This window comes from Homo sapiens, chromosome 2 (assembly GCF_000001405.40).
Source record: "Homo sapiens chromosome 2, GRCh38.p14 Primary Assembly".
Classification (NCBI taxonomy): domain Eukaryota; kingdom Metazoa; phylum Chordata; class Mammalia; order Primates; family Hominidae; genus Homo; species Homo sapiens.
The window spans coordinates 73,808,131-73,821,313 of record NC_000002.12 but is presented as its reverse complement, the minus strand read 5'-3'; the positions used below and the strand labels follow the sequence as shown (position 1 = coordinate 73,821,313).

Below are 13,183 nucleotides of genomic sequence, written 5' to 3'. Positions count from 1 at the left end.
AAAACTACTGGGAGGAACAACGGATACAAAGATAAAAATCAGGGAGGGAAACAGAGCTAGGAAATGTCAAAAAGCAAACCACCATGTCATTTGACACTACATTTTTAAAAAAGAGAAGTTTGGGGAAGTTTTAGAAAAGTTATCCTTAACACCTCCTTTTCAAAGTGCAGAAAAACCAATTTCACCTAAAAATGAATAACAGAAAAGGATCGTAGTCAAATCCCATACAAAGGTATTATAAGAAAAAAGAGAATAAGCAGCAGAATAGCATCCTGTCAGACAACAAAAGCAAGTCAGAAAAGACAGCCCCGCCAGCTGATCCAAAGAGTAATCTGCTATTTCAAAACTAGCTAAAAGACATTAGGAAAAAACGATGCAAAAGATGAAAGGACCATGGGGGGCAGGATGGGAAGTTACTGAATGAGTACTGTACAGAGTTTTTGTTTGGGATGATGAAAAAGTTCTGGAGATGGATAGTGGTAATGGTGGAACAACAGTATGAATCTACTTAATGCCACTGAATTGTACACTTAAAATGGTTAAAATGGTAAATTTTACATTATGTGTATTTTACTGCAATAAAAAGGGTGAGAAAACAATATAAATCAAAATTAGGTGAGATGGTAGAACTCAGAACAGGATTAAAAACAAAAGAAAAACTTCAGAAATGAAGACTAAAGTAAAAAGAACACAAGAATGAACAGGCTGGGCATGGTGGCTACATTTTAAAAAACACCTGTAATCCCCACACTTTGGGAGGCCAAGGCGGGTGGATCAGTTGAGGCCAGGAGTTCAAGACCAGCTTGGCCAACATGGTGAAACCCTGTCTCTACTAAAAATACAAAAATTAGGCCAGGGCGATGGCTCACACCTGTAATCCAAGCACTTTGGGAGGCCGAGATGGGTGGATCACCCGAGGTTAGGAGATTGAGCCCAGCCTGACCAACAAAACCCCGACTCTACTAAAAATACAAAATTAGCCAGGCATGGTGGCGCATGCCTGTAATCCCAGCTACTCGGGAGGCTGAGCCAGGAGGATCGCTTGAACCTGGGAGGCAGAGGTTGTGGTGAGCCGAGATCGCGCCATTGCTCTCCAGCCTGGGCAACAAGAAGGAAACTCTGTCTCAGGAAAAAAAAAAAAAAAATTAGACAGGCATGGTGACGTGCACCTGTAATCTCAGCTACTCAGGAGGCTGAGGCATGATAATCGCTTGAACCCAGGAGGTGAAGTTTGCTGTGAGCCAGGTGGCACCAGTGCACTCTAGCCTAGTGACAGAGCGAGAGTCCGTCTCGAAAAAAAAAAAAGAAAAAGAAAAAGAAGAAAAAAGAATGAATTAGCATAATGGATAATGCCTTTTAAAAAAAGGAAATTTTTAAAAATCAAAAAGAAGATAATAAAAAGAATTCTAGAGAAATGGCAAATAACAAAAGATAGGCAAAAAAGTCAGGACAGTTCTGAAAAGAGTAATGCAAACACATAGAAACGTAGTATACCATAAAAGTGACATTTCAAATCAATGGGACAGATTATTCAGTAAATTGTAATATGTACATGTTGGGGTAAAAATAAATAATTTATCTGGAAGAATCCTTAAAATGGCAAAAGTAGATGCTTCTAAGGGAGGGGGTGGTGGTGGCTGGGAAACTTGGGGAAAGTGTGAATTTCCATTGTCACCATTTTGTATCTTTCCAATGTTCTATCATGTGAATCTATTATCTTTTAAGTCTAAAATGCCTGTGTTCAAATCCCAGCTATTGCTAGCAGTTGCTAGCTAGCTCTTAATCTTGGGCAAATTCTTCAGATTCTCTACCTCCTTATCTGTGAAATGGGATGAATAACTTAGCCAGGTGCTGCCTGGCACAGAATAAACTCTCAATAAATATAAATTGCTGGTGGAAACAACCCAAATGTCTAGTAATGGATGAATGGATAAGCCAATGTGGTGTAGTCATACAATAAGAATACTATGCAGTATGAAAAGGAATAAAGTTCAGACACACACTACAACATAGATAAACCTTTAAAACATAGTATTAAATGAAAGAAGCCAGATACTAAAGGTCACATGTTGTATGATTCCATTTATATGAAATGTCCAGAAAAGGTAAATCCAGAGATTGGTGGTTGCCTGGTGTCAGAGGGAGGAGGGAATGAGGAGTGACCGCTAATGGGTAGAGGGTTTTTTTGCAGGGGATGATGAAAAGGTAATGGCTCAGATAGTTGTAATGATTGTACAACCTTGTGAACATACTAAATGTCACTGAACTGTACGATTTTTGTTTGTTTGTTTTTTGTTTTGAGACTGAGACTCGCTCTGTTACCCAGGCTGGAGTGCAGTGGCACGATCTCGGCTCACTGCAACCTCCCCCTCCCGGGTTCAAGCGATTCTTGTGCCTCAGCCTCCTGAGCAGCTGGGATTGTAGGCATGCGCCACCACGCCCGGCTAATTTTTGTATTTTTATTAGAGACGAGGTTTCACCATGTTGGCCAGCCTAGTCTCGAACTCCTGAGCTCAAGTGATCCGCCTGCCTCAGCCTCCCAAAGTGCTAAGATTACAGGCCGCTCCCGGCCGAATCGTACGGATTTTGAACAGTGAATTTTATGTTAGGTGAATTATATATCAGAAACTAATTTTTTAAAAAGTAAATTACTGATTTACCCATGGTGACCATCCACTGCCCCCATCTTCCCTTCCCCCACCCATTCCTCTCCTGCCCTCCCCCCACCGCCCCCAACCCTTTCTACCTCCCACTGTGCCTCGAGGGGCGTGGGGGGGGGGGGCCTCCCCCTAAGGAGCGTCTGTGGACAGTTGGGCGCCTGCGTCTTGCGGCTTTTGGAGGGGGACCCAGGGCGCGCGCGCGCCCACCACTCATCCTGTGAAAATGGACGCTCCAAGCCGTTTTGTCTCGTGTACTTCAGTTAATGGTGATGGCGGAGAAGGTTGCACGTGCTGGAATGGGTGGAGGAGGACCTGGCGGCCTCTTAATATTTAAGTCCCTCCAGAAGCTTGATTTATTATGCCTGTAACCTCCGGATTCCGCGGTCTGAAAGCCAGGCTGGCTGCCTGCAGGCGCTTGCAAACGCTGAGGACTTCGGAGACCCACAGGCCTTACCCCTTTGCACACAGTGTGACCCAAGCCCACTGCTGAACCTCACTAGTAAAGTGGCACAGTGTTACTGGTCTTGTGTGTTGTTGTGAAGGTGAACTGAAGTAGTGCGTCTCACTGCCCCTTGCATAGGTGTTGGTTGAGTAAATGGAGATCTATACTCTGGGGTCTGTTCTGAGCCAGCTTCATGCTGCTGCAGTTCATTTGGCTGGGCCCCAGGTTATCAGCTGTATCTAGGAGAACTGTGAGCCCTTGCCATTCCCCTGGTAGATTTCCCCTATGTTTTGTACTCACTTTCCCAACTGTGATCATATACGTATAAGGTAACCCAAACCTGTTGATGAGACCTGAATCTTATTTTCTAAAATACCTATCTGATAGGCCATGAGACATAAGGCTATCATCCATGGGGGATTTTGTACGTTTCTTTTGGTCCACCCAGCCTCATCTTCTGCCATCTTCAATTTATATCCAAATTTTATTCTTTTAGTCCTAACCTCAGATTCTGCATCTTACTTCTGCCATTTTCCCCATTTCTGATTCTTTGTATAAGCCCATAAAATCTCTCCCCATTTGACCTTCTTAGTCCTGGAACATGTTCCTTCCTGTTTCCTCAATTCTTATCCCTTTCTTTCTCTCTATTCTCCCATCCAACTTTTAGTTCCTTCTTTTTTTTTTTTTTTTTTTTTTTTTTTGAGACGCAGTCTCACTCTGTTGTCCAGGCTGGAGTGCAGTGGCACGATCTTGGCTCACTTTGACCTCCACCTCCCGGGTTCAAGCGATTCTCCTGCCTCAGCCTCCTGAGACGCTGGGATTACAGGCACCCGCCACCACACCCAGCTAATTTTTTGTATTTTTAGTTTTTAGTTTGTATTTTTAGTTTCACCATGTTGGCCAGGCTGGTCTTGAACTACTGACCTCAGGTGATCCACCCACCTCGGCCTCCCAAAGTGCTGGGATTATAGGCATGAGCCACCATGCCCGGCCATAATTCCTTCTTTCTAATGCAGCCTTTCATCCCCACCCCCACCAAAGAAAACCCACAGTCAACAGCATCTCAAAACTCAAAAGGCCTCTTTATTACTTATCTATTAATCAATTCTATTACATTTCTTTATTATGTTTTAAAAATATATCAGAATAAATAAATTAGTATCTATCTATATATGTGGAAAACCAGCGGTATCCAAAGTAAAACCAACAATCTCAGCTCTTAGATTGTGTAGCCATAGTATTCAGCAATTTCCATATCTCTTTCCCTTTCAATGAAAAACTGCACTTTCCCCAAAGAGGTGTATTTGGCAGCATTCTCACGCTCTTGTTGAGCCTTTCTCTTCATGGCCTCACGCTCTGGCCTCTGCTCTTCTGTGATGGGCGTTGACATTACTGGCTCAGGAACAGTGGGTTTCCTCCATGGACGGGGTTGGAGGCTGAAGTCTTGGATTAGAAATTGATTTTGAGGCTTGGGCAGTGACCGGAGACTGGTCACAGCAGTGGAAACAGGCTCCCGCTGCAGAGAAGAACAAGATGATGTTTTGTAGGCTGATGGCCTAGAAGCAGCAGATTGAGGGACAGTAGGCTGGGTAGGGTTGGCTGAACTGGGTTGGGTTGCTTTGGCTGAAATTGGCTGAGCTGGTGTGGCAGGACCTGTCAAAGATGTGTTGGTAGGAGCTGGTCGGGATGGATTGACTGCATTCGATTGAGCTGAGTTAGTAGAATCAGGTCGAGCAGGGTAAGCCACAGCAGGCCTACGTGAGGCTAGAGGGTTTGGCCGCCGAGAAACATGTCGAGCTTGAGGTTGGTCCAGGGTCAGAAAGGGCAAAGGTATCAACTTGACCTTCCCAGGTGGTGGCAACTCAGAGTGGGATGGAGATGTACACTCTTTTTCAGCACTACCATCTAGTTTCTGGGCCTTGACTTGAATTTTCTCCGGGCCTTTACCCTCATGTTGGATATCCAGCCATGGTTTGAGAGCTGGGAATGGCTGGCGGTTTTGGGTGTTGCTTGAGCTTCCCAGGGTCCTGGAGGAAGAGAATCCAGTTTTCATATCGATCTTTTTCCCGAGTGCATGGAAAACTTGCACGGACTCTAGCATGTGCATGCCTAGGGAGCTTCGGGGCTTTTTAAGGGTCTTTTGGCTAAGCTCAGGTTGATTTTTCTTCCGTTTCATATTGGGAATGGTTTGCTTCTCTTCTACCTTGACTTTTTTCCCTGACTGCTTACTCTCTTCAGATTTCTTGGAGCTGTTCTTTCTGTTCCCTTTGGTCTTTTCCTGCCCATGGCTCTTAGTTTTGCTGATCCTGCTGGATGCAGCCTTGTGAGGTTTGTTGCTAGAATGCTTGGCCTTGTTCACAGAAGCGCTGTTACTGACTGTAGCACTGCCAACAACCACTTCTCTCTCTAATAGGCACTCTGGGTTCTTTGGCTGGATTTTGGCCTTGGGAGCACCCTGGATAGGCTCGGAAGCTTTATGCTTGTTCTTCCTGACTTGATCAGAGTGACCCTTTATGACACATGACTTTTCCTGCACCTGATTTACCTTGATGGCACTGGTATCTTTGGCTTTCTTTGCTGAGGGACTTTCAGGTTGGTCAAGATCTTGTAAGGAACTGAAGATCGGGGGGAGGTAAGTATCCTCCACCCATGTAGTGATGTCTGCCAAATCACTGCTAGACTCAATCCCATTTTCAAATATCCCTTGGTCCTCAAGACTCAGGCTCTTATTTCTTAGATTGGCATTTTCAGAACCAGGCTGCTCCTCTTGGCCAAGAGGATCAATGCAGGCCAGAAGCGGGTGAATATCGGGGATTTCTACAGGAAGTAGTGGAGGATCTTGATTTCCTATTAGGATCTGGTGGACATCTAGAGGCTTTGAAAGGTTGGTTTTAATCTCATCCAAATTCTCATTCTCATTTTTTTCCTGGCTTGGAGCTGGAGACAGTGTCAAGAGATTAGTAGGACTCTGGACTGGAGTTATTGAAATGTCCCCAAGCTCAGGTGATGGGTTACTCTCAAGTGTCTGGGTATTTCTGCTACTGAAGGACTTGGAGAATTCTGGAGTTTGTGGCAGACAAAATGTCTGGCTTGGAGATTGCAATCCCAGGGAAGTATCCATCCCCAGGGAAGTTTCCATCACTACAAAGGAATCAAGGAAGAAGTCAGTCCCTGGTAAGTGAGATGCTCCCCCTACACACCAGTGCAGCAATCGGATACCTTTCCAACATGGGCAAGGCATTTCTACTAGCTCTTCTTAAGGACCATGGGCAAGACCCTGTATTAGGAGATTGGCAGTGACTGTTCTCTTACTGGTTATCATTTGATGTGATTGTTTCTTGGTTTTCTTTGTATTTCATAGGGTTGTTGTAGATCAAAAAGTGAAAGTGATTTTTAAAATAGGAGATGTTTTATACAGCCTCACATTCTTACAGGGTCCTTTCAATTCTCTCCACTCTCCTGAGAGAATAAGAACAGTTTACACCATGGACTAGGGTAAGGTAGAGAGTGGAGCCCTTCCTCATGAAATATATAAGCAAGCACAGATTCTGAGCCTGTTTGTTTTGGAGAGGATCTCTGAACACAAGGTCTTAAATCCTATTGTAAGTTAAGGAAAATCAAAATGTCACCGCCAAAATAAGAGTTCTGAAGTGCCTTCCAAAGAGACTAAAGTAATAGATTAAGGAAGGACATTACAGCGTGGTAGTGTGGGGGAAGTGATCAGTCAGGGCACTAAAAAGTGTATCCCTCAGTATGCTCTTGCGATTCTCTTACATGTAGCATAGATGGCCATTACAGTGTTCCACTTTCCCACTTATAAGGTGTTCTTATATAGAGTCTGAAAATGGAGAGCACTGCCAAAGAATAGTGGTTGAAGTCTCAGGACTTAAATTCTACCTATCCACGGACTCACCACTCGCTACAGATTTGACCCTCCTTTTCAACGCTGACATTATTCCTCTCCTTTCTTGATGTTTGTACTCACCTTGAACACTGGTTTCTGTGATGGGTTGAGAAGACACAGAGTAATACATCCCAGAAGTAGAGACTGGTGGTAGGACATTTGTGGGCTGAACCTCCTTCAGCACCATCACCATTTCTGGTTGATGGGCAGAAGCCCTATATCCTGTGTATGACACAGAGCCATAAGATTGCAGGCAGGATAGTTGAGGCCCCAGTGTGCCTTGATTATAGTAATAGACCTGGCTTCCTATCTGGCAGGGAAGTGACAGGTTATGGCCCTGCTGATTTGGAATTTGAGTTAGTGTCCCCTGAACAAGGCTGGCAGATAGTGATGGATACAGAGGGACCATAGTATTGGTATCTGAAGTTTTATAATACTGGGCTGTCATAGACATGGAAGAGACAGCTGTGTTCTGATCAATGACAGTCACAGTGAAGTCCCTGAGTGAGGATGACTTCTTTACTGTGCTTGCTGTACTATCCCACTCAAAAACGCCTGGATAAGAGGCAGCTGAAGTACAGATATGGCTCTGGCCAGTAACCCCAGACAACATAGTTGTGCTAGAATGTTGGTAAAGGTAGGCACTGCCCATGAGTGGCTGGAAGGAGGTGCCAGAGGCTGATGGCTGTAGCCATGCTGAGCTGATGGCTGGAGCAGAGGCTCTGGAGAAGTTGGAGATGCTTCCTGTTAAGAAAGCTGCATTGCTCACCACAGGAAGAGAGAACTGCCGAGAATTTGCAGTTCCAGGTAAAGACGTATTTTGGAAATATTCTGTAGGAAACAAGAGAGAGATGAAAAAACCGATGAGAGTGAAAAATTCTCACCTTATTGGAAGACTAGCATTATCTTAAGGTTGTTGCAATCAGGAAGCCTCTAATACCAATACTCACTGAGATACCAAAAGCCAAACAGTTTATGATGGCCTTGAGTGCTGAAGCAGTTTGGTCCTCTTCTGATGAACTGTCTTTGTGTCCAACTTGGACACAGATATGAAGACCCAAATGGTCTGGTTTCGTACATTATTTCCTAGGCTAGAAGCAACCTTCTCCCTTCCCTATCTTTCCCTTGAATCTGGGCTAGTATAGACTCATAACTATTTCCTAGAATTGGAGCATTTTAGAACTAGGAGGTCCTTAGAGAAGTTCTAACATTTCATTTTATGAGTCTGAGAGGTCAGATTGACCTGTTTTAAGTTTTACCATTATGTTAATATCATTACCAGGTTACAGAACCTGACTTCCTTGCCAGGAGTCTTTTCTCTGAGCATAGACCAGAAACCAGGAAATTAGAACTTTTAATATGGCATTTTTTTGGTCTACTAGAATATAGTACAGCTATTACCTTTATAATCCTTAGTGTCACATTTTGCTTCTGCAGGTCATATGATATGTCCTAGAGTTTATATTTAACCCAGGCCATTGGTAAATCTAAAAGGTCATTCTTTGCCCTCTTCAAGCCTGGCTTTTTATCATTAGTCAAAATAACTACCTGATAGAAATGTTTTCTTTTTTCTTTTTACTGAGACAGAGTCTTACTCTGTCACCCAGGCTGGAGTGCAGTGGCTTGACACCCAGGCAGCCACTCTGCCTGGCTAATTTTTTGCATTTTTAATAGAGACGGGGTTTTGCCATGTTTACCAGGCTGGTCTCAAACTCCTGACATCAGATTATCTGCCTGCCTCGGTGTCCCAAAGTGCTGGGATTACAGGTGTGAGCCACAATGCCTGGCCAAGAAATGCTTTTTGAAAGAAAAAAGCTAGTTAAACTCTGTGAGCTTCAGGCTGCCTGTCTATAAAGAAGTTGTAAAATAATAACAGTGATAATTCATACATGAATAAAAGTGATAGATTACATATGACTTATAATGAGGAAGATATAGTAAGTTCTGAAAAAACAGACAAAATAATTAAAAACATAAAATCATGGAACTAAAACAATATATAGATATTAATGAAAATTGGGGTATGTAGCTAGCATCAAAACATAGTAAAGTACTAACTAAAGCTGTTACCATACATGCAACATTAGGAAACTGAATAGTATCTACTCTTTCTTAGTGAATACTATTAACCAAGAAACAGCCCATAATAGAATGAATGAATTTCTAACAAGCATATATAGACAGAGAAATTGTATCAGCAAAAAGTGTGTAAGAAGCAGAAAATGTATAGACAAACTGTATCAGCAAAAAGTGTGTAAGAAGCAAAAAGTATGTAAGAAACAGAAAAATGCAGTAAATGTGAATGTAAAATAGCCATAATATATGTGGATAGATATTTCAATAAAAACTGGTACAAGGTAGAATGCAAAAAATAAGTGTAAAGGAATTATTATGCTCATTCATATTTCTATGAATATTACCCAGCAAATGACAGGTATTAATCCTAGTGTAATATTTAAATTATTGTAGCCACATAACAAGCAGAAAAGAACTCTTAAAAAGTATCATGAGAACTTTAATATCTATCCTCAAAACCTAGATTATAATCATCTCCAACGTCCAGGAAAATGACATTCCCATAGCTTAAAAAAAAACAACTGCTAGAATCCAATTAAAAAATGTTTTGAATGTAGGAAAGTTCAAAGGACTCCAGAAAATTTGGCTTAGATTGATATGGAATTAGAGATATGTGGCTGATATGTGGCTTGACTTTTTATTCTTAGGTCTAAAAGCAGTCCATTATGAATCAGTAGGTACTCTGTTTTTGGAAGAAAGTATTAAGATAAAAAAGCAGCTTTTACTTGGAATCTACTTTTCATGCAAAGGTATTGTTCTTCTGATGCAAATAACGATACATTCTTTTTTCAGAAAACTTAATTTTATTGTTAATAGGAGAAACATCCATATAATTTAAAAATTAGAAACAGCACACTGCAAATTACATGTCCTCCAGCTCTCTAGGTAACCACTTATTAGTTTCTTGTTTGTAGGAAGCAACATTTCTTTTCTTTTCTTTTGAGATGGGGTCCTGCTCTATCCTACAGACTGGAGTGCAGTGGCAAGATCTCGGCTCACTGCAACCTCTGCCTCCCAGGTTCCAGAGATTCTCCTGCCTAAGCCTCCCAAGTAGCTGGGTTTACAGGCGCCTGTCACCACACCCAGCTAATTTTTGTATTTTTAGTAGAGATGGGATTTCACCATGTTGGCCAGGCTGATCTCGAACTCCTGACCTCAGGTGATCCACCCGCCTCAGCCTCCCAAAGTGCTGGGATTATAGGTGTGAGCCACCGAGCTCGGCCTGGAGGCATCATTTCTAAAACATATATATATATATATATGAAATATACATGTATATTATATATAACATACATTTATATTATATAATATACATATATTATATATAATATACATGTAATATACACTAAATTTAAAATTTATATGTATATTATATATAATATACATGTAATATATATAACATACATGTATATTAATTATACATGTATATTATATATATAAAATATACATGTATATTTTATATATATATTATATATACATAAAATATACATGTATATTTTATGTATGTATATTTTATATGTATATTATATATATATAAAATATATATGTATATTTTATTATATTATATATATTATAGATATATACATAAAATATACATATATATATTATGTATATATATAAAATATATATATTTTATGTATATATATAATATACATAAAATATACATATATATTTTATGTATATATATATATATATTTTCTTTTTGAGACAGAGTTTCGCTCTTGTTGCCCATGCTGGAGTGCAATGGCATGATCTAGGCTCACTGCAACCTACACCTCCTGGGTTCAAACGATTCTCCTGCCTCAGCCTCCCAAGTAGCTGGGATTACAGGCATGTGCCACCATGCCCGGCTAATTTTGTATTTTTAGTAGAGACAGGGTTTCTCCATGTTGGTCAGGCTGGTCTTGAACTGACCTCAGGTCATCAGCCCACCTCGGCCTCCCAAAGTGCTGGGATTACAGGTGTGAGCCATCCTGCCCGGCCTCTAAAGCATATTTCTAAAATGTTTATATTAAAAACTGTCAAGTGTCATCTATGTTCAAAAAGGCAACAGAAAAAAAACAACTGAATATGACTTCTGATAAGGTGCTTTTTCTAGGGATACTCTATTCTAGCCTGTTTCCTTCCTAGTCCTTTGATCTAAGCATTTGCTAAAACCAACTTCATTTTGCTCTATTTTGAATAGATTTCACTCTGTTGTCCTTTTGCTTTTTTTTTCAAATTTAAAATATATTTTTTTATTTTAAAATCATTTCGTCATTCTCCAGGGCATATCCCAAGGGGAAAAGTAGGGGACCCTGTCTTTCTGCTTTAATTAAAATACCAAATTCCTTACTCTAGAATACCTGCCTCCTTATAACCCAGTACTCTCCATTTTCTCTTTCCACCTAGTTTAGATAGGAATGTCCAAAACATGAATATTACTTTTGTTTGTTTATTTGTTTCTTTGTGACAGGGTCTCACTTTGTCACTCAGGCTGAAGTCCAGTGGTGTGAACCTGACTCACTGCAGCCTCAACCTCCTGGGCTCAAGCAGCGTCTGATCCTCCCACCTCAGCTTCCTGAGTAGCTGGCACACCCCCAACCCTGGCTGAGTTTTAAAAAGTTTTTGTAGAGATGGGGTCTTGCCATGTTGCCCAGACTGGCCGGGAACTCCTAGGCCCAAAGCGATCCTCCCACCTCAGGCTCCCAAAGCATTGACATTGCAGGCATGAGCTACCACGCCCAACTGAATATTAAAAACATCACTACACATCAGTAAACATCACTAAATTTAAAATAGGAAAGTTGAAATATTAGTGAGGGAGATGGCCTCCCAAAGTGCTGAGATTACAGGTGTGAGCCACCGTGCCTGGCTGAATATTATTTAAAACATCACTAAACATCACTAAATTTAAAATACGAAAGTTGAAATATTAGTGGAGGGAGACTATTACACATGAAACATCTCAGAATATATTGCTAGTTTTCTAGACCACTTTGGTTTTTTCTCTGTTTCTGTTGAAATGAACACTCTCAGAAAGTCTCTGATTTCATTTTCTATACGTATACCCTTTAAGACTCAGTATTAGAAAAGAAAAAGGCCAGGGGGAATAACCAGTCTATTATCCTAGTGTAATAGATGAGGAAACAGATTTTGTGAGAGAATAAAAGTTATCTAAAGTCACACAGCTAGTTAATGTCAAAGCCAAAACTGAAATGAGGTCTCTGGATTTCTACTTCAATACTTTCCCTGTTATTCCAAGCTGTTTGGGAATATAGGGGGAAAGAAATCTAAATTTAGTGGCAAAGAAATCTCATGAAAACCTTTTTAAAAAGTTTCTCTCTTTACCTGACATGGTCAGAGAAGAAGAAACATCAACTGCAGATAGAAGGGAAGAAGAGACGATACTAGCGGATGTCTGGGTGGCTGAAGCCAACCAGTGCATGTGTCCAGTATGAAGGCCACTGGTCACTGGTTACTGGTCACTGGCCCCTTGTGATGATACAAATTTACAGGCCACGCCCAGGAAACCCCAAGATTCTACCAGGTGGCAGTTGGTTTGGTGGGAGAATGATGTCACAAAGCAGGCAGTTTAAAGGTCTGCGATAGCCAATAGGGAGGTCAGATTCCCCACAAGACAGGATTGGCTGGCAGAGGTGGTAGGAAAGGTGTAACAGCACTAAGTGGCTGAGCTCTGGGGAGGTGAAATCTGCAAGACAGACATGATAGTCCCACTTTCCCCCAGGCTCTCATGTTAGGGAGATCATCTCAATGTTTCTCATAAATGTTCACTAATATAATTAACATTTATATTTAATGTGTTACATTTCATATTATATAATACTATGCATTTATAATTATACAGTACATACACAATATCCTTGGGGAGAAAGGAAGGGGATGTCTAAGTTGAGCAATTACAGTTGTTCTAAAACTATTTCAGTGAATCTGATTAATGAATTTACTGCTGCTTTTTTATTTTATTGAATTTTTTGTGAGATGGAGTCTGGCTCTGTCACCCAGGCTGGAGTGCAGTGGCGTGATCTTGGCTCACTGCAAGCACCACCTCCCAGGTTCACGCCATTCTCCTGCCTCAGACTCCTTAGTAGCTGGGACTAC

At 41.3% G+C, this 13,183-nt stretch overlaps 1 protein-coding gene across 3 annotated transcripts in view; it reads right to left on the bottom strand.

The window, feature by feature from the left end:
* Window positions 1–4,165: 4,165 nt before the first annotated feature.
* Window positions 4,166–13,183, bottom strand: part of C2orf78 (chromosome 2 open reading frame 78) — a 32,966-nt gene continuing 23,948 nt past the window's right edge. Inside the window, exons 1-4 of one of the 3 annotated variants that reach the window (XM_047444260.1) lie at window positions 12,413–12,541; window positions 7,776–7,837; window positions 7,088–7,228; window positions 4,166–6,243 (exon numbers count right to left, since the gene is read on the bottom strand). In XM_047444260.1, coding sequence (XP_047300216.1) covers window positions 4,322–6,243; window positions 7,088–7,199 — 2,034 coding nt within the window. In that variant the 5' untranslated portion in view covers window positions 7,200–7,228; window positions 7,776–7,837; window positions 12,413–12,541 and the 3' untranslated portion in view covers window positions 4,166–4,321. Of the gene's footprint in view, window positions 6,244–7,087; window positions 7,838–12,412; window positions 12,542–13,183 lie in introns of those variants that run through there. The other 2 variants (NM_001353344.3, NM_001080474.3) reach the window with 2 other exon arrangements.